The sequence below is a fragment of the Homo sapiens genome, chromosome 19, assembly GCF_000001405.40.
Source record: "Homo sapiens chromosome 19, GRCh38.p14 Primary Assembly".
NCBI classification, from domain to species: Eukaryota; Metazoa; Chordata; class Mammalia; order Primates; family Hominidae; genus Homo; species Homo sapiens.
This window is the reverse complement of record NC_000019.10, coordinates 53,712,484-53,737,541: the sequence shown is the minus strand read 5'-3', so window position 1 is coordinate 53,737,541 and position 25,058 is coordinate 53,712,484. Positions and strand designations below refer to the sequence as shown.

The window sequence follows — 25,058 nt, the reverse complement described above, 5'->3', positions numbered from 1 at the left end:
TGTAATCCCAGCACTCTGGGAGGCCGAGGTGCATGGGTCACCTGAGGTCAGGAGTTCCAGACCAGCCTGGCCAACATGGGAAAACCCCGGGTCTAAAAATACACACATAAAAAATTGGCCAAGTGTGGTGGCACGCACCTGAAATCCCAGTTACTCCAGTGGCAGAAGTTGCAGTGAGCTGAGATTGTGCAGCTGCACTCCAGCCTGGGCGACAGCGAGACTCCTTCTCAAAAACACATAAATAAATGAATAATAAAGAAAACTACAAATATTAGCCAGGTGTGGAGGAGTGAGCCTGTAATCCTAGCGACTCGGAAAACTGAGGCAGGAGAATCGCTTGAACCCGGGAGGTGGAGGTTGCAGTGAGGGGAGTTCCTGCCATTGCACTCCAGCCTGGGTCAGAGTGAGACTCCGCCCCCCAAAAAGAGGACCATTTAAGACCAAGAGATCTAGGTTGGAAGTGCCAACACACTCCAGCCTGGGCAACAGAGACCCTGCCTAAGATAAAAAATAAAACAAAAACAAAACCCAACCGTCATCCACGTCTGATGATAAGCATGCTCTCCAAATGTATTACCAAGATCAGCATCAACTTCAACGTTGCTTTTCTCAAAGAGTAACCCTCTGAAAGGAAGCACTTTCTTTTCTTTCACAAAACAGAAAGTGCTTCTTACCTCCAGATGGTCACAGCCTGAGATATTCTTGCTCGGTGCATGGTGGATTTTTTGTTGGAATGTTCTTCGACCAGGTTAAAATGGACACAAACATAAAGATGCATTTGTGGGCCCTGTTTGCATGTTTCCTGGAATCCAGAACATAAACCCCTAAAGGAACCATCTCCAGTTTCTTGTTTCAAAGAATCAGCAGGTTACCTTGTTCATCAAGGGGCAATCCTCCTGAGTTTTGTCTCTAGAAAGAAAAAGCAATGCCTACTACACATACCTTATATTTAACCAAGAGAATTGGGCTGGATTTCTAGAGAACAGCAATGGATTTTGAGCCAAGTGTTCACTTGAGTTCCAGTATAGGCACACAGTCCCAGTGGGAGCATCCAAAATGGAATCTACGATGTTGAAGAATATACATTGTCATACGCACAAATATTCTCCAGAATAGATCACAGGCTTGGTCATAAAAACTCCTTAACACAATTTTAACATAAATACACAAGTACAGGTGGGGCACGGTGGCTCACACCTCTAATTCTAGCACTTTAGGAGGCCAAGACGGGAGAATCACCTGAGGTCAGGAGTTCGAGACCAGCCCCGGCAACATGGTGTAACCCCATGTGTACAAAAAATACAAAAGTGAGCCGGGTGTGGTGGTGCATGCCTGTAGACACTAATGCAGCAGGCTTAGGTGGAAGGCGGAGGTTGCAGTGAGCTGAGAACGCACCACTACACTCCAGCCTGGGTGATAGAGCCAGACCTTGTCTCAAAAATAACCAACCAAACAAATAAAACACACACACACAGAAACAAACCAAAAAATACCCAAAGTGATATCAGAGTATTCTCTGTATTCAAATCAGCATTTTGTGTGTATATGATTATGTTATATATATGATATATTATATATATGATAAATTTAACTGGGGGCTGGGTACGAACAAAATAACAGTCCTTACTTTCTTCTTGTCTGTGCATGGGTTAATATTCACATGTAGTCCCATCTACCTAGGACTGGGGAGGGGCAGAGGCAGGAGGATCTAAGACCACTTTAGCCAGGGCGGCACAGTGAGACCCCTGTCTCATGCATTTATTTCCTGGTCATGCACCCAAGATTTCAGCTTCATTTCCCCAATAAACACTGAAGCCCCATGCACTCCACCTCCGTGCTCTTGCTCATCCCATCTGCAGGGACACTGAGGTCCCCTCAACTCCACCTGACCCCATGTGAGGTTCTATACCAGTGCCAGAATAATTTCCATGCAGTAAAAGGTGTTGATGGCTGCGCAGTGGCTCATGCTTGTATTCTCTGGACAACATGGTGAAACCCCCTCTTTAGTGAAAAAAAAAAAAAATAATAATAATAATAATAATACAAAAAGTAGCCGGGCCTGGTGGTGTGTTCCTGTAATTCCAGCTACTCCAGAGGCTGAGGCAGGAGAATTGCTTGAACCTGAGAGGTACAGGTTGTAGTCAGCCGGGATCGTGCCACTGCCCTCTAGCCTGGTCGACAGCGAGACTCCATCTGAAAAGTAAATAAATACATGAATAAAAAAGAAAAATACAAATGTTAGCCAAGGATGATGTCAGGCGCCTGTAATCCCAGCTCCTCAGGAAGCTCAGGAAGGAGAATTGCTTGAGCCCAGGAGACAGAGGTTGCAGTGAGCCGAGATCACGCCACTGCACTCCAGCCTGGGTCACAGAGCAAGACTCTGTCCCAAAAAAGAGGACTATCTGAGCGCAAGAGACCTAGGTTGGAAGTGCTTATGGACTCCAGCCTGGAAAATACAGATTTTGTCTTAGGAGAAAAAAAAAAAAAAAAGCACAGAACCCCGATATCATCCAAGTCTGATGATAAGCATCCTCTACAAATGTATTACTGAAGTCAGCATCAACTTCAACATTGAGTTTCTCAAACCGTAACGCTCCAAAGGGAAGCGCTTTGGTTTCTTTCAGACAACAGAAAGTGCTTCCCTCTAGAGGGTCACAGCATGGGATCTTCTCACTCCAGCACTCTGGGTTTCTTGTTGGAATTTTCCTTGACCAGGTTAAAGTGGATAGAAAAATAAAAATATATTTATTGGTCCTGTTTGCCTGTTTTCTGGAATCCAGAACATAAACCCCTAAAAGGACCATCTCTGGTTCTTTGCTTCAAAGAATCAGCAGGTTAGCCTTGCTCATCAAGGGGCAATCCTCCTGAGTTTTGTCTCTGGAAAGAAAAAGCAATGCCTACTACACATACCTTATCTTTAACCAAGAGAATTGGGCTGAATTTCTAGAGAACAGCAATGGATGTACAGCCAAGTGTTCACTTGAGTTCCAGCACAGGGACACACAATCCCCTTGGGAGCCTCCAAAATAGAATCTAAGACGTTGAAGAATATAAATTGTCACACACACAAGCATCCTCCAGGATAGACCACAGTTTAGGCTGACTTAAGAGGACCACTTGAGGCTAGGCGCAGTGGCTCATGCCTGTAATCCCAGCAGTTTGGAAGGCTGAGGCAGGTGGATTACCTGAGGTTAGGAGTTTGAGACCAGTCTGGCCAACATGCTGAAACCCTGTCTCTACTAAAAACACAAAAATTAGCTGGGTGTGGTGGTGGACGCCTTTAATCCCAGCTACCCGGGAAGCTGAGGCAGGAGAATCGCTTGAACCTAAGAGAAGGAGGTTGCATTGAGCCGAGATTGTGCCATTGCACTCCAGCTTGGGCAACAAGAGTGAAACTCTGTCTCAAAATAAATAAATCAATAAAAATAAAGAAATACACAAGTACGGGTGAGGCACGGTGGCTCACACCTCTAATCCCAACATTTTATGAGGCCGAGGCAGGAGGATCACTTTAGCTCAGGTGTTGGAGACCAGCTCAGGTAAAATGGTGAAACCATTTTGTAGTCTCAGGTAAAATGGTGAAACCATTTTGTAGTCTCAGGTAAAATGGTGAAACCATTTTGTAGTCTGTAGAAAAACTACAAAAGTTAGCCAGGTGGCTGGGTGTGGTAGCTCATGCCTGTAATCCCAGCAATTTGGGAGTCCGAGGCAGGTGGATCACTAGAGGTCAGGAGTTGGAGACCAGCCTGACAAGCATGGGGAAACCTGTATCTACTCAAAATACAAAATTAGCCAAGTGTGATGGTGCATGCCTGTAATCGCAGCTACTTGGGAGGCTGAGGCAGGAGAATCACATGAACCCGGAAGGCGGAGGTTGCAGTGATCTGAAATCTTGCCATTGTACTCCAGCCTGTGCAACAAGAGCAAAATTCCCTCTCAAAAAAAAAAGGTAGCCCACTGTGGTGGTGCATGCCTGTAGACACACTAATTCAGGACGCATAGGTGGGAGATGGAGGTTACAGTAAGCCGAGATCGCACTACTACACTTTTGCCTGGGTGACAGAGCCAGACCTTGTCTCAAAAACAAACAAAAACCACACACACAAGAACAAAAAACAATCTCATAGTGATATGAGTAACCTCTACCTCCCAGGTTCAAGCGATTCTCCTGCCTCAGGCTCCCAAGTAGCTGGGATTACCCGTACCTGCCACCATGCCCGGCATATATACATATATATATATATGTATTTATCGTAGAGACGGATTTTCACCATGTTGGCCAGGCTGGTCTTGAACTCCTGACCTCGGGTGATCCACACGCCTCAGCCTCCCAAAGTGCTGGGATTACAGGCTTGAGCCACTGTGCCCAGCCACATCATACATTTTTGAGACCATGTCTCAAAGAAAATAAAGATCTACATATTGTATGCTCACAGGAAGAATAATACCTAAACATAAGTGCTTGCTTTGCTGGTGCACATAAAAAAAAATTGGATTGACAGAGATTACCCTGGCCCCCACACAGAGGTGACACCCAAATTCATGATGGTTCCATATTTATCTTTTATTTATTTATTTATTTTTTTTTTTTAGACCAAGTCTTACTCTGTCGACAGGCTGCAGTGCAGTGGCACGATCTTGGCTCACTGCAACCTCTGCCGCCCAGTTGGAACGATTCTCCTGCCTTGGTCTCCCGAGTAGCTGGTATTACAGGCACCTGCCACTGCACCTGGCTAATTTTTGTATTTTTCGTAGAGATGAGGCTTTGCCGTGATGCCGCAGCTGGTCTTCAACTCCTGACCTGAGGTGATGCCCCCGTCTCGACCTCCAAAAGTGCTAGCATTACAGGTGTGTGCCACCGTGCCTGGCCTATTTTTTATTTTTTTGAGATTGAATCTTATTCTTTTGCCCAGGCTGTAGTTCACTGGCGCGATCTCAGCTCACTGCAACCTCTGCCTCCCGGCTTCAAGCGATTCTCCTGCCTCATCCTCCTGAGTAGCTGGGATTACAGGCGTGCAGCACAACCACGCATGGCTAATTTTTGTATTTTTAGTACAGATGGGGTTTCACCATGTTGGCCAGGCTGGTCTCAAGCAGCTGACCTCAGGTGATCCTCCTGTCTCTGCCTACCAAAATGATGGAATTACAGGCGTGAGCCACCATACCTGACCTTGTCCTATGTTTAAAATCAGGAGCAAAAAAAGATGCTCACATCTAAACAGCAAATCATTTGTTGTTCAAGTACATCTCAAATACATTGTTTATCTAAAATACAAATTTAACTGGGGGTGGGACGTGAATCAAAGAACAGTCCTTACTTTCCTCTTCCTGTACGTGAGTTAATATTCACATGTAGTCCCAGCTACTAAGGACTGGGGAGGGGCAGAGGCAGGAGGATCTAAGCCCACATTAGCCTGGGCGGCATAGTGAGACGCCCGTATTGTTGCATATACGACCTGGTCATGCACCCAAGATTTTGGCTTTATTTCTCCAATAAAAACTCAAACCCCATGCATTCCACCTCCGTGTTCTTGCTAAGCAGTGCACATCCCACCTGCAAGGACATTGGGGTCCCCTTCAACTCTACCTGACCCCAAGCGAGGTTCTATAAACCAGTGCCAGAATAATTTCCGTGGACCAAAAGGTGTTAATGGCCAGGCACGGTGGCTCACGCCTGTATTCTCAGCACTTTGGGAGGCCCAGGCGGGCAGATCACCTAAGGTCAGGAGCTGAGTTCAGCCTGGCCAACATGGTGAAACCACGTCTCTGCTAAAAATACAAAAATTAGGCCAGGCATGGGGGCGCATACCTGTGATCCCAGAAATTTGGGAGTCAGAGGTGGGTGGATCACTTGAGGTCAGGAATTTGAGACCAGCCTAGCCAACACGGTGAAATCCAGTCTCTACTTAAAAAAAATATACAAAAAGTAACTAGGTGCGGTGGTGTGCTTCTGTAATTCCAGCTACTCAGGAGGCTGAGGCAGAAGAATTGCTTGAACCGGGGAGGCAGAGGTTGCAGTGAGCCGAGATTGTGCCACTGCCCTCCAGACTGGGTGACAGCGAGACTCCGTCTCAAAAATAAATAAATAAATAAATTTTAAAAAATACAAATATCATCCAGGTATGGTGATGAACGCCTGTAATCTCAGCTGCTTGGGAAGCCGAGGCAGGAGAATTGCTTGAACCTGGGAGGCAGAGGTTGCAGTGAGCCGAGATCGCCTCACTGCATATCAGCCTGGGTGACAGAGAAAGACTCTGCCCCCTAAAAAGGACCATTTGAATTCAAGAGACCTGGGTTGGACATGTCACTGCACTCCAGCCTGGGCAACAGAGATCCTGTCTTAGAATAAAAAAGCAAAACCGAAAACAGAACCCCGGCATTGTCCAAGCCTGATGATAAGCATGCTCTGCAAATGTATTACCACGATCGGCATCAGCTTCAGTGTTGTTTTTCTCAAACCGTAATCCAGCAAAGGGAAGCGCTTTCTCTTCTTTCAGACAACAGAAAGGGCTTCCCTTTGCAGTCACAGCTTGAGATCTTCTTGCTCCGGCACTCTGGGTTTCTTGTTGAAATTTTCCTTGACCAGGTCAAAATGGACACAAAAATAAAGATGCAATTTTTGGCCCTGTTTGCATGTTTTCTGGAATCCTGAATAAAAACCCCTAAAAGGACCATCTCCAGTTCTTTGCTTCAAAGAATCAGCAGGTTAGCCTTGTTCATCAAGGGGCAATCCTCCTGAGTTTTGTCCCCAAAGAGAAAAAGCAATGCCTACTACACCTACCTTATATTTAACCAAGAGAATTGGGCTGGATTTCTAGAGAACAGCAATGGATGGAGAGCCAGGTGTTCACTTGAATTCCAGGACAGAGACACACAGTCCCGAGGGGAGCATCCAAAATGGAATCTAAGATGTTGAAGAATGTACACTGTCACACACACAAACATCCTCCGGGCATTATCCCGTAAATGCTTCTCAGTAACATTTGAACAGAGATACACAAGGGCAGGTGGGGCGCGGTGGCTCACACCTCTAACCGCAGCACTTACGTAGGCCAAGGCAGGAGGATCACTTGAGCTCAGGAGTTAGACACCAGCCCGGGAAACATGGTAAAACCTCATCTGTAAAAATACAAAAGTTAGCCAGGTATGGTGGTACATGCCTGTAGATACTAATTCAGGAGACTGAGGTGGGAGGTGGAGGTTGCAGAGAGCCGAGATTGCACCACTGCTCTCCAGCATGGATGACACAGCAAGACTCTGTCTCATAAATAAATAAATAAATAAGCCAGGTGTGGTGGCACATACCTGTAATCCCAGCTGCTCGGGAGGCTGAGGCAGGAGAATCCCTTGACCCCAGGAGGCAGAGGTTGCAGTGAGTGGAGATCCTGACAGGACACTCCAGCCAGGGCAGGGTCACAGAGCAAGACTCTGTCCCAAAAAAGAGGGCCACTTGAACCCAAGAGATCTAGGTTGGAGGGGCCGCCACACTCCAGCCTGGGCAACAGACACCCTGTCTTAGAAAACAAAACAAAACAAACAAACACAAAACCCCACCACCTTCCATGGTTGATTATAAGCATTCTCTGCAAGTGTATTACCAAGATCAACGTTGCTTTTCTCAAAGCGTTAACACTCTGAAGGGAAGCGCTTTCTTTTCTTTTAGCCAACAGAAAGCGCTTCCCTCTAGAGGGTCACAGCCTGAGATCTTGCTCCAGCATTGTGGGTTTTTTGTTGGAATTTTCCTTCACCGGGTTAAAATGGACACAAAAGTAAAGATGCATGTATTGGCCCTGTTTGCATGTTTTCTGGAATCCAGAACATAAACCACTAAAAGGACCATCTCCAGTTCCTTGCTTCAAAGAATCAGCAGGTTAGCCTTGTTCATCAAGGGGCAATCCTGAGCTTTGTCTCTAAAGAGAAAGAGCAATGCCTACTACACATACCTTATATTTAACCAAGAGAATTGGGCTGGATTTCTAGAGAACAGCAATGGATTTTGAGCCAAGTGTTCACTTGAGTTCCAGCACAGGGACACACAGTCCCAATGGGAGCATCCAAAATGGAATCTACAATGTTGAAAATGTACATTGTTATATACACAAACATCCTACTATATATATGATAAGAATATATGATGACTGGGCGCGGTGGCTCACGCCTGTAATCCCGGCACTTTGGGAGGCCGAGGCGGGCGGATCACCTGAGGTCAGGAGTCTGAGCCCAGCCTGACCAACATGGAGAAGCCCGTCTCTACTGAAAATACAAACTTAGCTAGGCATGGTGGCGGGTGCCTGTAATCCCAGCTACTCAGGAGGCTGAGGCAGGAGAATCACTTGAACCCAGGAGGCGGAGGTTGCAGTGAACTGAGATCATGTCATTGCACTCCAGCCTAGGTGACAGGAGCGAAACTCCCTCTCAAAAAATGAAAAAAAAAAAAAAGATATTGAAGACTATGTATTGTACGCACAAACAACCTCCAGGATAGACCACAGGTTAGGCCATAAAAGCTCCTCAATAATATTTGAATAGAAAAACACAAGTACGGTGGGTCTCGGCGGCTCATACCTCTAACTGCAGTACTTAAGGAGGCCAAGTCGGGAGGATCACTTGAGCTCTGGAGTTCCAGTCCAGCCTGGGAAACATGGTAAACCCTGTGTGTACAAAAAATACAAAAGTTAGTCAGGTGTGGTGGTGCATGCCTGTATTCAGCTCTTTAGGAGGCTGAAGTGGGAGGTGGGAGGTGGAGGTTGCAGGGAGCCAATTGCACCACTGCACTCCAGCATGGGCAACAGAGCCAGATGTTGTCTCAAAAAAAAAAAAAAAAACACCCCAAAATCCCAAAAAACGCACGCAAACAAAAAAACCCCAAAGTGATATCAGTATTCTCTGTGTACAGAAGAGTATTTTGTGTGTGTATGATTATATTATCAATATCAGACATTATAATAAAATGTATATGATATATTTTTGAGACCCGGTGTCAAAAAAAGAAAGCTCTCTATGTTGTTTGCTCACAGGAAGAATAATTCCTACACAGAACAGCATGCATTAAAAAAATTGGAATGACAGAGATTCCCATGTCCCCTGTACACAGTGACACCCAAATTCACCATGGGTCCCATATTTAAAATTAGGAAATACAGACCGGGCGCATAGGCTAACGCCTATAATCCCAGCTCTTTGGGAGGCTGAGGCAGGTGGATCACCTGAAATCAGGAGTTCGAGACCAGCCTGACCAACATGGTGAAAACCTGTCTCTACCAAATGCAAAAACTGAGCTGGGTGTGGTGGTGCATGCCTGTAACCGCAGCTACTTTGGAGGGTGAGGCAGGAGAATCACTTGAACCTTGGAGGCAGAGGTTGCAGTCACCCGAGATCACATCATTGCACTCCCGCCAGGCAACAAACTGAGACTCTGTCAAACAAACAAACAAACAAACAAACAAACAAAAAAACAAGGTGTGATCAGTGCATGGAATAGTCTGGAAATCAAAGGACCCTCCCACCCCGGGATCTGCGGTGGCTGGGACTGTGTGCCCCATGATGCCTGGCCATGTCAACTATCTTTGAAAAGGGTCAGCAGGAGAATGTGGCTCACGCCTGTGGAATCCTTGAGCTCAGGTGTTGAGACCTTCCTGAGCAACAGAGATCATATCTGTATGAAAAATTAAAAACTTAGCCAAGTGTGGTGGCACGCCCCATGTAGTCCCAACTACATGGGAGGCTGAGTCAAGAGGACCACTTGAGGCTGGGCGAGGTGGCTCACGCCTGTAATCCCAGCACTTTGGGAGGCCGAGGGGGAGGATCACTTGAGGTCAGGAGCTGAGACCAGCCTGGCCAACATGGTGAAACCCTGTCTCTTCTAAAAATACAAAAATTAGGCCAGACGTCGTGGTTCATGCCTGTAATTCCAGCACTTTGGAAGGCCGAGGTGGGTGGCTCACATGAGGTCAGGAGTTTGAGACCAGCCTGGCCAACATGGTGAAACTCCGTCTCTACTAAAAAAAAATCCAAAAAGTAGCCAGGCATGGTGGTGTGTTCCTGTTGATTCCAGCTACTCGGGAGGCTGAGGCAGCAGAATTGCTTGAACCTGGGAGGCAGACGTTGTAGAGAGCCGAGATCACGCCACTGCACTCCACCGTAGGCAACAGCGAGACTTCGTCTCAAAAATTAAAATAAAAAAAAGAATAATAAAGAAAACTACAAATACTAGCTGGGTGTGGTGGTGTGCGCCTGTAATCCCACCTACTCAGAAAACCAAGGCAGGAAAATCACTTGAACCCGGGAGGCGGAGGTTGCAGTGAGCAGAGTTCCTGCCACTGCACTCCAGCCTGGATCACAGAGCAAGACTCTGCCCCAAATAAGAGGACCATTTGAGCCCTAGAGATCTAGGTTGTAAGTGCCACCACACCCTAGCCTGGGCAACAGACATCCTGTTGTAGAAAACAACAACAAAAAACAGAACACCACCATCAGCCAAGTCTGATGATAAAAGCATGCTCTGCAAATGTACTACCAAGATCAACATCAAACTAAACGTTGCTCTTCTCAAAGAGTAACCCTCTGAAAGGATGCATGTTCTTTTCTTTCAACAGAAAGTGCTTCCCTCTAGAGGGTCACAGCACGAGATCTTCTTACTTCAGCACCATGGATATGTTGTTGGAATCTTCCTTAGCCTGGTGAAAATAGACACAAAAATAAAGATGCAATTATTTGTCCTGCTGGTGTGTTTCCTGAATCCAAAAACATAAACCCCTCACAGGATCATCTCCAGGTCCCATGCCTCAAAGGCTCAGCAGGCTAGCCTTGTTCATCAAGAGGAAATCCTCCTAAGTTTTTTCTCCGGAAAGAAAAATCAATGCCTACCAGACACACCTTATCTTTAACCAAGATAACTGGGCTAAATTTCTAGACAAGAGCAATGGATTTTAAGCCAAGTGTTCACTTGAGTTCCTATATAGGAACACATAGTACCGATGGGAGCATCCAAAATGGAATCTAAGATGTCTAAGAATATACATTGTCACACACACAAACATTCCCCAGGATAGACCACAGGCTATGTTGTAAAAGCGCCTCAATACGGTCGCTCATGCCTGTAATCCCAGCACTTTGGGAGGCCGAGGCGGGAGGATCACAAGGTCAGGAGATCTAGACCATCCTGGCTAACAAGGTGAAACTCCATCTCTACTAAAAATACAAAAAAATTAGCCGGGCGTGGTGGTGGGCGCCTGTAGTCCCAGCTACTCAGGAGGCTGAGGCAGGAGAATGGCATGAACCTGGGAGGCGGAGCTTGCAGTGAGCCAAGATCGCGCCACTGCGCTCCAGCCTAGGTAACAGACCAAGACTCCGTCTCAAAAAAAAAAAAAAAATCGCCTCAATAAAATGTAAGCAGAAACACACAAGTAGGGCGGGACATAGTGACTCACACTTTAGGAGGCCGAGGTGGGAGGATCACTTGAGCTCAGGGGTTCAAGACCAGCCTGGGCAACATGGTGAAACCTCATCTGTACAAAAAACACAAAAGTTGGCGAGGTGTGGTGGTGCATGCCTGTAGACAGGTATTCAGAAGGCTGAGGTGGGAGGTGGAGGTTGCAGTGAGCCGAGATCACACCACTGCACTACAGCCTGGGCAACAGAGTGAGACTCTGTCTCAACAATCAATCAATCAATCGATAATAAAATGCAAAAATTAGCCAGGTGTGGTGGCACATGCCTATAACCCTGCTCGGGAGGCTGAGGCAGGAGAATTGCTTGAACCCAGGAGGCAGAGGTGGCAGTGAGCCAAGTTCCTGCCACTGCACTCCAGCTAGGGTCACAGCGCGAGACTCTGTCCGAAAAAGAGGGCTACTTGTTGAGCCCAAGAGATCTAGGTTGGAAGTGCCACCGCACTCGAGCCTGGGCTACAGACACCCTGTCTTAGAAAAAAACAAAACCCCAAGATCATCCAAGTCTGATGATAAGCATGCTCTTCAAATGTATTACCAAGATCAGCATCAACTTCAATGCTGCTTTTCTCAAAGAGTAACCCTCTGAAAGGAAGCACTTTCTTTCACAAAACACAAAGTGCTTCTTACCTCCAGATGGTCACATCATGAGATCTTCTTGCTCCAGCACTGTGGATTTTTTGTTGTAATTTTCTTTGACTAGGTTAAAATGGACACAAAAATAAAGATGCATTTATTGGCCCTGTTTGCACATTTTCTGGAATCCAGAATATAAACCCTTAAAAGGACCATCTCCAGTTCCTTGCTTCAAAGTCTCAGCAGGTTAGCTTTGTTCATCAAGGGGCAATCCTCCTGAGTTTTGTCTCCAGAAAGAAAAAGCAATGCCTACTACGTGCACCTTATATTTAACCAAGAGAATTGGGCTGGATTTCTAGAAAACAGCAATGAACTTAGAGCCAAGTGTTCACTCGAGTTCCAGTACAGGGACACACAGTCCCGATGGGAGCATCCAACATCGAGTCTACGATGTTGAAGAATATACATTGTCATGCACACAAACATCCTCCAGGATGGACCACAGGCTTGGTTATAAAAACTCCTCAATAAAATTTGAACAGGAACACACAAATACCAGTGGGGTGTGGTGGCTCACACCTCTAATCCCAGCACTTTAGGAGGCTGAGACAGAGGATCACCTGAGCTTGGGAGGGAGTTTGAGACCAGCGCCTGCAACATGGTGTAAACCCATGTGTATAAAAAATACAAAAGTGAGCCAGATGTGGTTGTGCATGCCTGCAGACACTAATTCAGCAGGATTAGGTGGGAGGTGGAGGTTGCAGTGAGCCGAGATGGCACCACTACACTCCAGCCTGGGCGATAGAGTCAGACCTTGTCTCAAAAATAACCAACCCCTTTGTAGGGACATGGATGAAACTGGAAACCATCATTCTCAGCAAACTATCGCAAGGACAAAAAACCAAACACCGCATGTTCTCACTCATAGGTGGGAACTGAACAATGAGAACACATGGACACAGGAAGGGGAACATCACACACCGGGGACTGTTGTTGGGTGGGGGTAGCGGGGAGGGATAGCATTAGGAGATATACCTAATGCTAAATGATGAGTTAATGGGTGCAGCACACCAGCATGGCACATGTATACATATGTAACTAACCTGCACGTTGTGCACATGTACCCTAGAACTTAAAGTATAATAATAAAATTAAAAATAAATATATAAGTAGGGATACAAAAATATGACAAAAAAAAAACAACCAAACACAGACACATGCAAACAAAAAATACGCAAGGTGATATCAGAGTATTCTCTGTATTTAGAAGAGTATTTTGTGTGTACATGATTATATTATATATGATAAGAATATATAAAATATACATGATATATTTTTGAGACCCTGTCTCAAGGAAAGTTCCATACATCGCATACTCACAGGAAGAATAATTCCTACACAAGTTCTTGCTTTGGTAGTGCACATAAAAAAAATTGGAATGACAGAGATTACCGTGGCTGCTCCACAAAGGTGACACTCAAATTCACGACGGTCCCGTATTTATCTACGTATTTTTATTTGTTTTATTTATTTTTGAGACGGAATCTTGCTCTGTGGCCCAGGCTGGAATGCCATGGCTTCATTACAGCTCACTGAAATCGCCTCCTCCTGGGTTCAAGTGGTTCTCCTGTCTTGGCCTCCCGAGTAGCTGGAATCACAGATGTGCACCACCGCACCCAGCTAATTTTTGTAGTTTTAGTAGAGACAAGGCTTTGCCACGTTGGCCCCGTTGGTCTTGAACTCCTGACCTCAGGTGATCCTCCCGTCTTAGCCTCCTAAAGTGCTGGGATTACAGGCGTGTGCCGCTGTGCCTAGACTATTATTTACTTTGTTGACACTGAGACTCACTCAGTTGCCCAGGCTGGAATGCAGTGGCGCAATCTCAGCTCACTGAAAGCTCAGCCTCCTGGCTTCAAGCGAGTCTCCTGCCTCAGCCTCCCGAGTAGCTGGGATTACAGGTGTGTGCAACCAGGCCTGGCTGATTTTTGTATTTTTAGTATGGACGGGGTTTCACCATGTTGGCCAGGCCGGTCTCGAACAACTGACCTCAGGTGATCCTCCTGTCTCGGCCTCCCAAAGTGCTGGAATTATAGGCAGGAGCCACCATACCTGGACTAGTCCCATCATTAAAATTAGGGGGAAACAAAGATGCCCACACCTAAATAGCGTATCATTTATTGTTTAAGCACATCTCAAATACATTGTTTATCTAAAACACAAGTTTAACTGAGGGCCGGGACGAACCAAAAAATGGTCCTTACTTTCTTCCTGCCTGTGCATGGGTTAATATTTACATGTAGTCCCATCTAACAAGGCCTGGGAGGGGCAGAGGCAGGAGGATCTAAGACCACTTTAGCCAGGGCAGCATAGTGAGACCCCCGTCTCATGCATTTATCTCCTGGTCATGCACCCAAGATTTCAGCTTCATTTCCCCAATACACACTGAAGCCCCATGCACTCCACCTCCGTGCTCTTGCTCATCCCATCTGCAGGGACACTGAGGTCCCCTCAACTCCACCTGACCCCATGTGAGGTTCTATACCAGTGCCAGAAAAATTTCCATAAAGTAAGAGGTGTTGATGGCCACGCACCATGGCTCACGCCTTTGGGAGGCGCGCGGTGGTGGCTCATGCCTGTATTCTCAGCATTTTCGGAGGCCAAGGTGAGTGGCTCACTTGAGGTCAGGGGTTTGAGACCAGCCTGGCCAACATGGTAAGCCCCATCTCTACTGAAAAAAAAAAAAAAAAAAATTCAAAACGTAGCCAGGCGTGGTGGCGGCCACCTGTAGTTTCAGCTACTTCAGAGGCTGAGGCAGGAGAATTGCTTGAACCTGAGAGGCAGAGGTTGGAGTCAGTCGGGATCATGCCACCGCTCTCCAGCTGGGGAAACGAGACTCCATCTCAAAAATAAATAAATGAATAAAAAAGAAAAATACAAATATTAGCCAAGTGTGATGTCGGGCCCCTGCAATCCCAGCTATTCAGGAAGCTGAGGCAGGAGAATAGCTTGAACCCGCGAGGTGGAGATTGCAGTGAGCCAAGATCGTGCCACTGCACTCCAGCCTGGGTCACAGAGGAAGACTGTCCCAAAAAGGACCATATGAGCCCAAGAGACCTAGGTTGGAAGTGCCTCTGTACTCCAGCCTGGGCCACAGAGACCCTGTCTTAGAAAACAAAAACAAAACAGAACCCCAACATCATCCAAGTCTGATAATAAGCATGCAAATATATTACCAACATCAGCATCAACTTCAACACTGCTTTTCCCAAACGGTAACACTCTAAAGGGAAGCACTTTGTTTTTTCTCAGACAACAAACAGAAAGTGCTTCCTCTAGAGGGTCACAGCATGGGATCTTCTTGCTCCAGCACTCTGGGTTTCTTGTTGGAATTTTCCTTGACCAGGTTAAAACGGATACAAAAATAAAAATGCATTTATTGGCCCTGTTTACATGTTTTATGGAATCCAGAACATAAACCCCTGAAAGGACCATCTCCAATTCCTTGCTTCAAAGGCTCAGCAGGTTAGCCTTGTTCATCAAGGGGCGATCGTCCTGAGTTTTGTCCCCAAAGAGAAAAAGGAATACCTACTACTCATACCTTACATTTAGCTAAGAGAATTGGGCTGATGTTGAAGAATATACATTGTCTCACACACAAACATCCTCCAGGATAGACCAGAGTCTAGGCTGACTCTAGAGGACCACGTGAGATTAGGGGCGGTGGCTCACGCCTGTAATCCCAGCACTTTAGGAGGCCAAGGCTGGTGGATCACCTGAGGTCGGGAGTTTGAGACCAGCCTGCCCAACATGGTGAAACCCAGTCTCTATTCAAAACACAAAAATTAGCTGGGTGGGGCAGTAGGCACCTGTAATCCCAGCTACCCAGGAGGCTGCGGCAGGAGAATCGCTTGAACCCAGGAGGTGGAGGTTGCAGTGAGCCTAAATTGCAACACTGCACTCCAGCCTGGACATCAAGAGTGAAACTCCATCTCAACAACAACAACAACAATAAAAATAATAACTAGCAGGACACGATGGCGGGCATCTCTATTCCCAACTATTCGGCAGGCTGAGGTGGGAGAATCGCCGGAAGCTGGGAGGCGGAGTTTCCGGTCAACAGGGATCCTGCCGCTGCACTCCAGCCTGGGAAACGGAATGAGAGCGCATCTCAAAAAATCAAAAATAAAAAGATCACCACTTGAGCCCAAGAGATCTCGGTTGGAGGTGCCACCCACTCCCGCCTGGGCAACAGGGAACCTGTCTTGGAAAAAAACAAACCAAAGAGAACCCCAACATCATGCAAGTCTGATGATAAGCACGCTCTGCAAATGTATTACCAAGATCAGCAGCATCTTCAACGTTGCTTTTCTCAAACAGTAACACTCTAAAGGGATGCACGATCTTTTCTTAGACAACAGACAGTGCTTCCATCTAGAGGGTCACAGCATGAGGTCTTCTTGCTCCAGTACTGTAGGGTTCTTTTTTTTGTTTTTGTTTTTGTTTCTTTTTGACGGAGTCTTGCTCTGTTGCCGAGGCTAGAGTGCAATGGCACGATCTCGGCTCACTGCAAGCTCCGCCTCCTGGGTTCAAGCCATTCTCAAGCCTTAGCCTCCCGGGTAGCTGGGACTACAGGCACCCACCACCACGCCTCGCTAATTTTTTGTATTTTTAAATAGAGATGGGGTTTCACCGTGTTAGCCAGGATGGTCTCGATCTCCTGACCTCGTGATCCACCCGCCTCGGCCTTTCAAAGTGGTGGGATTACAGGCGTGAGCCACAGCGCCCAGCTTTTTTTTTTTTTTTTTTTTTTCAGACGGAATCTCACTCTGTCATCCTGGCTGGATGCTGTGGCACAATCTCGGCTCACTGCAGCCTCTGCCTCCCGGGTTCAAGCAATTCTCCTGCCTCAGCCTCCTAAGTAGCTGGGATTACAGGTGCCCACCACCACACTGGGCTAATTTTTGTTGTTATTGTATTTTTAGTAGAGACGGATTTTCACCACGTTGGTCAGACTGGTCTCAAACTCCTGACCTGAGATGATCTACCTGCATCGGCCTCCCAAAGTGCTGGGATTACAGGCATGAGCCACCATGCCCGGCTTTATTTTGTATTTTTATTCATTTGTTTATTTTTTGAGACAGAATTTCCCTGTGTTGCCCAGGCTGACCATTTGAAGCCAAGAGATATATTGGACATGTCACTGCACTCCAGCATGAGCAACACAGAGCCTTAGAATAAAAAAGCAAAACCAAAACAGAACCCCACCATCGTCCAAGTGTGATAAGCATGCTCTGCAAATGTATTACCGAAATCAGCATCAACTTCAACGTTGCTTTTCTCAAACCGTAACCCACCAAAGAGAAGCACTTTCTTTTCTTTTAGACAACAGAAAGGGCTTCCCTTTGTAGACTCACAGCTTGAGATCTTCTTGCTCCGGCACTCTGGGTTTCTTGTTGAAATTTTCCTTGACCTGGTCAAAATGGACACAAAAATAAAGATGCATTTATTGGTCCTGTTTGCATATTTTCTGGAATCTAGAACATAAACCGATACAAAGACCATCTCCAGTTCCTTGCTTCAAACGTTCAGCAGGTTAGCCTTGTTCATCGAGGGACAACTGTCCTGGGTTTTGTCTTCAAAGAGAAAAAGCAACGCCTACTACATATACCTTATATTCTCAGGAGTTAGACACCAGCCTGGGAAACATGGTAAAACCTCATCTGTAAAAATACAAAAGTTAGCCAGGTATAGAGGTGCATGCCTGTAGACACTAATTCAGGAGGCTGAGGTGGGAGGTTGAGGTTGCCGGGAGCCGAGATCACACCACTGCACTCCAGCATAGGTGACAGGGCCAGATCTTGTCTCAAAAACAAACGAACGAACAAACAAAAAATGCACACACCAACAAAAAAATGCCCAAAGTGATATAAGAGTATTCTCAGGGTGTAAAAGAGTCTTTTGTGTGTACATGATATTATATATATAAGAATATATGAAGGCCAGCCGCGGTGGCTGTCTGCAATCCCAGTACTTTGGAAAGCCAAGGTGGGCAGATCACCTGAAGTCGGGAGTTTGAGACCAGCCTGACCAACATGGAGAAATCCCGTCTACTAAAATACAACAAATTAGCTAGCCCTGGAAGTGTATGCCTGTAATCCCAGCTACTCAGGAGGCTGAGGTAGGAGAGTCGCTTTAACCCAAGAGGTGGACATCGCAGGGAGCCCAGATCACACCATTGCACTTCAGCCTATGCGACAAGAGCAAAACTCAGTCGCAAAAACATAAAAAATAATAATAATAAAAGAAACTTCCATATATTGTATGCTCACAGGAAGAATACTTCCTACACACAAGTGCTAGCTTTGGCAGCACGCATGAAAAAATTGGAATGACAAAGATTACCATGGGCCCTGCGCAAAGGTGACACTCAAATTCATGATGATCTCATATTTATCTATTTTTATTTTTTAACGTTTAATGTTTATTTAATAGTTTTATTTATTTATTTAGAGACAGAGTTTCACTCGTTGCCCAGGCTGGAATACAATGGCACAATCTCGGCTCACCACAACCTCCGCCCCCTGGGGTTCAAGTGATTCTCTTGCCTCAACCTCCCGAGCAGCTGGGATTACAGGCATGCGCCACCATGCCCGGCTAATTTTGTATTTTTAGTAGAGATGGGGTTTCTACGTGTTGGTTAGGCTGGTCTTGAACTCCCGACCTCAGGTGATCCGCCACCTCGGCCTCCCAAAGTTCTGGGATTACAGGCATGAGTCACTGTGCTCGGCCTATTTATTTAATTTTTGAAACAGAATCTCACTCTGTCACCCAGGATGGAGTACAATGGTGTGATTTCGTCTCACTGCAATCTCCTTTTCCCAGGTTCAAGAGATTCTCTTGCCGTGGCCTCCCAAGTAGCTGAGATTACAGGTGTCCACCACTGTTCCCAGCCATTTTTCCTAATTTTAGTATAGACGAGGTTTTGCCTTGTTTGCCCAGCTAGTCTTGGACTCCTGACCTGAGGAGATCCGCCTGTCCTGGCCTCTCAAAGTGCTGGGATTACAGGAGTGGACCACCGTGTCTGGCCTATTTTTTATGTTTTTGAGATGGAGTCTCACTCTTTTTGCCGAGGCTTGAGTGCAGTGGCGTGATCTCAGCTCATTGAAAGATCAGCCTTCCAGCTTCAAGCGACTCTCCTGCCTCAGCCTCCAGAGTAGCTGGGATTACAAGCATATACCACCACCATGCTGGGCTAATTTTGTATTTTTAGTAGAGATGGGGCTGCACCATGTTGGCCAGGCTGGAATCAAATTCCCGACCTCAGGTGATCCTCCTGTCTCAGCCTCCCAAAGTGCTGGAATTACAGGCGTGGGCCACTGTACTCTGCCTGGTGCCATTATTAAAACTAGGAAAAAAGAAAGATGCCCACACCTAAACAGCAAATCATTTGTTGTTCAAGTATGTCTCAAATGCAGTCTTCATCTAAAATACTAATTTGACTGGCGGCTAGGTGTGAACCAAAGAACGGTCCTTTCTTTCCTCTTGCCTGTGCATGGTTAATATTCACATGTAGTCCCAGCTACTAAGGACTGGGGAGAGGTGGAGGCAAAAGGACCTAAGCCCATTTTAGCCTGGGCAGCATAGTGAGACCCCTGTCTCGTTGCACATATGACCTGGTCGTGCAGCCAAGAGTTCAGCTGCATTTACCCAGTGAAAACTCAAAGCCATGCACTCCACCTCCGTGCCCCAGTGAAAACTCAAAGCCATGCACTCCACCTCCGTGCTCTTGCTAAGCAGGGCACATCCCATCTGCAAGGGACAATGAGGTCCCCCACCCCCTTATTTATTTATTTATTTTTTTGAGACAGAGTCTTGCTCTGTCGCCCAGGCTGGAGTGCAGTGGTGCCATCTCGGCTCACTGCAAGCTCCGCCTCCCGGGTTCACACCATTCTCCTGCCTCAGCCTCCCGAGTAGCTGGGACTACAGGCACCCGCCACCACGCCTGGCTAATTTTTTGTATTTTTAGTAGAGACAGGGTTTCACCATGTTAGCCAGGATGGTCTCGATCTCCTGACCTCGTGATCCACCCGCCTCGGCCTCCCAAAGTGCTGGGATTACAGGCGTCAGCCACCACACCCAGCCTGAGGTCCCTTTTAAATCTGCCCGACCCCAAGTGAGGTTCTATAAACCAGCGCCAGTATCATTTCCATGGAGTAGAAGGTGTTGATGGCTCGGTGCAGTGGCTCACGCCTGCATTTTCAGCACTTTGGGAGTCTGAGGCGGGAGGATCACTTGAGGTCAGGGGCTTGAGACTAGCCTGGCCAACGTGGTGAAACCCATTTTCTACTAAAAAAAAACAAAAAGGGCATGATGGTGACACATATAATTCCAACTACTTGGGAGGCTGAGGCAGGAAAATTGCTTGAACCCAAGAGGCAAAGGCTGCCACTGCACTCCAGCCTGAGAGACAGCGAGACTCAAAAATAAATAAATAAGAAAAATGAAAATTATAGCCAGTCATGGTGTCAGACACCTATAATCCCAGCTACTCAGGAAGTTGAGGCAGGGGAATCACTTGAAACTGGGAGGCAGAGATTGCCGTGAGCCAAGATCGTGCCACTGTGGTCTAGCTTGGGTCACAGAGCAAGACTCTGTCCCAAAAAAGAGGACCATTTGAGCCCAAGAGACCTAGGTTGGAAGTGCCACCATACTCCAGCCTGGGCAACAGAGATCCTGTCTTAGAAAAAAAAAAACAGACGCCCACCATTGTCAAAGTCTGATTATAAGCAGGCTCTGCAAAGTTATTTGCAAGATCAGCATCAACTTCAGCATTGCTTTTCTCACACGGTAACACTCTAAAGGGAAGTGCGTTCTTTTCTTTTAGACAAGAGAAAATTCTTCCCTTTGGAGAGTCACAGCCCGAGACCTTCTTACTCCAGCACTCTGGGTTTTTTGTTGACATTTTTGTTGACCAGGCTAAACTGGACACAAAATAAAGATGCACGTATTGGCCCTGTTTACACGTTTTCTGGAATCCAAAACATAAACCCCTAAAAGGACCATCTCCAGTTCCTTGCTTCAAACAATCAGCAGGTTAGCCTTGTTTATCATAGGACAATCTTCCTGAGTTTCGTATCTGCTAAGAAAAAACAATGCCTACTACACGTAGCTTATATTTAAGCAGGAGAATTGGTAAGATTTCTGGAGAAGAGCAATGGATTATGAGCCAAGGGTGCACTTGAGTTCCAGGACAGGTACACACAGTCCCGATGGGAGCACCCAAAATCGAGTCTACGATGTTGAAGAATATACATTGTCACATACACAAATATTCTCCAGGATAGACCATAGGCTTGGTCATAAAAACTCAATAAAATCTGAACAGAAATACGTAAGTATGGGTGGGGTGGGTTGGCTCACACCTCTAATCCTAGCACATTAGGGGGCCAAGACGGGAGGATCACCTGAGCTCAGGAGTTCCTGAGACCAGCCCCAGCAACATGGTGTAAACCCATGTGTATGAAAAACACAAAAGTGAGCCAGGTGTGGTGGTGCATGCCTGTAGACACTAATTCAGCAGGTTTAGGTGGGAGGTGGAGGTTGCAGTGAGCCAAGATCGCACCACTACACTCCAGCCTGGGTGATAGAGCCAGACCTTGTCTCAAAAATAACCAACTGGCCGGGCGCGGTGGCTGACGCCTGTAATCCCAGCACTTTGGGAGGCCGAGGCGGGTGGATCACGAGGTCAGGAGATCGAGATCATCCTGGCTAACATGGCGAAACCCTGTCTCTACTAAAAATACAAAAAAAAATTAGCCAGGTGTGGTGGTGGGTGCCTGTGGTCCCAGCTACTCAGGAGGCTGAGGCAGGAGAATGGCGTGAACCCGGTAGGCGGAGCTTGCAGTGACCCGAGATCCTGTCACTGCACTCCAGCCTCGGCGACAGAGTGAGACTCTGTCTCAAAACAAAAACAAAAACAAAAAACAAAAAACAAAAAACAAAAACAAAAAAAAACCAGCCAAACAAATAAAAAACATACACACACAAAGAAAGAAAAAAATACCCAAGGTTATATCAGAGTATTCTCTGTATTTAGAACAGTATTTTGTGTGTATATGATTATATTATATATAAGTATATATATAACGAAATATATACCATATATTTCTGAGACCCTGTGTCAAAGAAAGTTCCATATATTGTATGCTCACAGGAAGAAAAATTCCTACACAAGTGCTTGCTTTGGCAGTTCACATAAAAAAAAATTGGAATGACAGAGATTACGCTGGCTGCTACACAAAGGTGACACCCAAATTTATGATGTCCCATATTTATCTATTTATTTTTATTTATTTTATTTATTCATTTATTTTTGAGACGGAATGTTGCTCTCTGGCCCAGGCTGGAATGCCATGGCTTGATTTCAGCTCACTGAAATCTCCTCCTCCTGGGTTCAAGGGATTCTCCTGCCTCAGCCTCCGGAGTAGCTGGAATTACAGATGTGCACCATTGCACCCAGCTAATTTTTGTATTTTTAGTAGAGACGAGGCTTTGCCATGTTGGCCCTGTTGGTCTTGAACTCCTGACCTCAGGTGATCCTCCCGTCTCGGCCTCCCAAAGTGCTGGGATTACAGGCATGCGCCACCGCGCCCGGCCTATTTTTTACTTTCTTGAGACTGAGTCTCACTCTGTTGCCCAGGGTGGAGTGCAGCAGAAGATTTCAGCTCACTGAAAGCTCAGCCTCCTGGCTTCATGTTGGCCAGGCTGGTCTCGAACAACTGATCTCAGGTGATCCTCCTGTCTCAGCCTCACAAAGTGCAGGAATTACAGACAAGAGCCACCATATGCACACTAGTCCCATATTTAAAATTAGGAAAAAAAAAAACAAAACAAAGATGCCCACACCTGAACAGCAAATCGTTTGTTGTTCAAGTACATCTCAAATACATTGTTTATCTAAAATACAAGTTTAACTGGGGTCAGGTATGAACCAAAGAACAGTCCTTACTTTCTTCTTGTCTGTGCATGGGGGGTTAATATTCACATGTGGTCCCATCTACCAAGGACTGGGGAGGGGCAGAGGCAGGAGGATCTAAGCCCACTTCAGCCAGGGCAGCATAGTGAGACCGCCGTCTCATGCATTTATCTCCTGGTCATGCACCCAGATTTCAGCTTCATTTCCCCAATAAACACTGAAGCCCCATGCACTCCACCTCCGTGCTCTTGCTCATCCCATCTGCAGGGACACTGAGGTCCCCTCAACTCCACCTGACCCCACGTGAGGTTCTATACCAGTGCCAGAAAAATTTCCATAAAGTAAAAGGTGCTGATGGCTGTGCCCGGTGGCTCACGCCTGTATTCTCAGCACTTTGGGAGGCCGAGGCCAGCGGCTCACTTGAGGTCAGGGGTTTGAGACTAGCCTGGCCAACATGGTGAAACCCCACCTTTACTAAAAAAAAAAAAAAAAAAAAAAAATCAAAATCAAAAAGTAGCTGGTTGTAGTGGTGGGTGCCTGTAATTCCACCTACTCAGGAGACTGAGGCAGGAGAATGGCTTGAACCTGAGAGGCAGAGGTTGGAGTCAGCCGGGATCATGCCACTGCCCTCCAGGCTGGGTGACAGCAACACTCCATCTCAAAAATGAATGAATGAATAAAAAAGAAAAATACAAATATTAGCCGAGTGTGATGTCAGGCATCTGTAATCCCAGCTACCCAGGAAGCTGAGGCAGGAGAATCACTCGAACCCGGGAGGTGGAGGTTGCATTGAGCCAAGATCGCGCCACTGCACTCCAGTCTGGGTCACAGAGCAAGACTGTATCCCATAAAAGGACCATCTGAGCCCAACAGGCCTATCTTAAAAAGTGCTTCTCTAGTCTCTCCTGGGCAACAGAGACCTTGTCTTAGAAAAAAAAAAAAACACAAAACAAAACACACACACCAAAACAAAAAACAAAAACCTAACAAACAAAAAAACCAACCAAACAAACAAACAAAAAAACAGACTCCCAACATCATCCAAGTCTGATTACAAGCATGGTCTGCAAATGTATTACCAAGATCAGCATCATCTTCAACGTGGCTTTTCCCAAACGGTAACACTCTAAAGGGAGGCACTTTGTTTAAGAGAAAACAAACAGAAAGCGCTTCCCTTTGGAGGGTCACAGCATGGGATCTTCTTGCTCCAGCACTCTGGGTTTTTTGTTGAAATCTTCCTTGACCAGGTTAAAATGGCCACAACAATAAAGATGCATTTATTGGCCCTGTTTGCCTGTTTTCTAGAATCCAGAACATAAACCCCTAAAAGGACCATCTCCAGTTCCTTTCTTCAAAGGCTCTGCAGGTTAGCCTTGTTCATCAAGGGGCAACCCTCCTGAGTTTTGCCTCTAAAGAGAAAAAGCAATGCCTACTACACATACCTTATATTTAACCAAGAGAACTGGGCTGGATTTCTAGAGAACAGCAATGGACTTTGAGCTGAGTGTTCACTTGAGTTCCAGCACAGGGATACATAGTTCCGATGGGAGCATCCAAAATGGAGTCTAAGATGTTGAAGAATATACATTGTCACACACACAAACATCCTCCAGGATAGACCACAGGCTAGTGGATCACCTGAAAGCGGGAGTTCAAGACTAGCCTGGCCAACATGGTGAAACCCGTCTCTACTAAAAACATAAAAATTAGCTGGGTGGGGCAGTAGGTGCCTGTAATCCCAACTACCTGGGAGGCTGAGGCAGAAGCATCACTCGAACCCAGGAGGCGGAGGTTGCAGTGAGCCTAGATCATGCCAGTGCTCTCCAGGATGGGCAGCAAGAGTGCAGGACACGATGGTGGGTGCCTGATGCCTGAATTCCCAACAATTCGGCAGGCTGAGGTGGGAGAATCACTGGAACCCGAGAGGTGGAGTTTCCGGTGAGCAGAGATCCTGCTACTGCACTCCCAACGAAACAAGAGTGTGTCTCAAAAAATCAAAAAATAAAAAGAGGACCACTTAAGCCCAAGAAATCTTGGTGGAAGGTGCTATCCACCCACGC

The 25,058-nt window shown here is 46.4% G+C and overlaps 11 non-coding genes and 2 pseudogenes across 11 annotated transcripts; 2 read left to right on the top strand and 11 right to left on the bottom strand.

The window, feature by feature from the left end:
* Positions 1 to 607: 607 nt before the first annotated feature.
* MIR516B1 (microRNA 516b-1) lies at positions 608 to 697 on the bottom strand. The gene has a single exon (NR_030212.1). It is a non-coding gene; the product is annotated as a microRNA 516b-1 (primary transcript).
* Positions 698 to 2,578: 1,881 nt separating this feature from the next.
* MIR518D (microRNA 518d) lies at positions 2,579 to 2,665 on the bottom strand. The gene has a single exon (NR_030211.1). It is a non-coding gene; the product is annotated as a microRNA 518d (primary transcript).
* Positions 4,459 to 4,561, top strand: RNU6-980P (RNA, U6 small nuclear 980, pseudogene; annotated as a pseudogene).
* Positions 6,452 to 6,536, bottom strand: MIR518A1 (microRNA 518a-1). The gene has a single exon (NR_030210.1). It is a non-coding gene; the product is annotated as a microRNA 518a-1 (primary transcript).
* A 1,080-nt stretch (positions 6,537 to 7,616) lies between these two features.
* MIR518E (microRNA 518e) lies at positions 7,617 to 7,704 on the bottom strand. The gene has a single exon (NR_030209.1). It is a non-coding gene; the product is annotated as a microRNA 518e (primary transcript).
* Positions 7,705 to 10,555: 2,851 nt separating this feature from the next.
* On the bottom strand, positions 10,556 to 10,620 carry MIR526A2 (microRNA 526a-2). Its single transcript, NR_030208.1, has one exon. It is a non-coding gene; the product is annotated as a microRNA 526a-2 (primary transcript).
* A 1,395-nt stretch (positions 10,621 to 12,015) lies between these two features.
* On the bottom strand, positions 12,016 to 12,100 carry MIR516B2 (microRNA 516b-2). Its single transcript, NR_030207.1, has one exon. It is a non-coding gene; the product is annotated as a microRNA 516b-2 (primary transcript).
* A 3,186-nt stretch (positions 12,101 to 15,286) lies between these two features.
* On the bottom strand, positions 15,287 to 15,376 carry MIR520G (microRNA 520g). Its single transcript, NR_030206.1, has one exon. It is a non-coding gene; the product is annotated as a microRNA 520g (primary transcript).
* A 1,023-nt stretch (positions 15,377 to 16,399) lies between these two features.
* Positions 16,400 to 16,466, bottom strand: MIR517B (microRNA 517b). Its single transcript, NR_030205.1, has one exon. It is a non-coding gene; the product is annotated as a microRNA 517b (primary transcript).
* An 893-nt stretch (positions 16,467 to 17,359) lies between these two features.
* On the bottom strand, positions 17,360 to 17,446 carry MIR520D (microRNA 520d). The gene has a single exon (NR_030204.1). It is a non-coding gene; the product is annotated as a microRNA 520d (primary transcript).
* RNU6-803P (RNA, U6 small nuclear 803, pseudogene) lies at positions 18,377 to 18,478 on the top strand (annotated as a pseudogene).
* On the bottom strand, positions 20,862 to 20,948 carry MIR521-2 (microRNA 521-2). Its single transcript, NR_030203.1, has one exon. It is a non-coding gene; the product is annotated as a microRNA 521-2 (primary transcript).
* Positions 20,949 to 24,107: 3,159 nt separating this feature from the next.
* On the bottom strand, positions 24,108 to 24,195 carry MIR519D (microRNA 519d). Its single transcript, NR_030202.1, has one exon. It is a non-coding gene; the product is annotated as a microRNA 519d (primary transcript).
* Between the last annotated feature and the right edge of the window lie 863 nt (positions 24,196 to 25,058).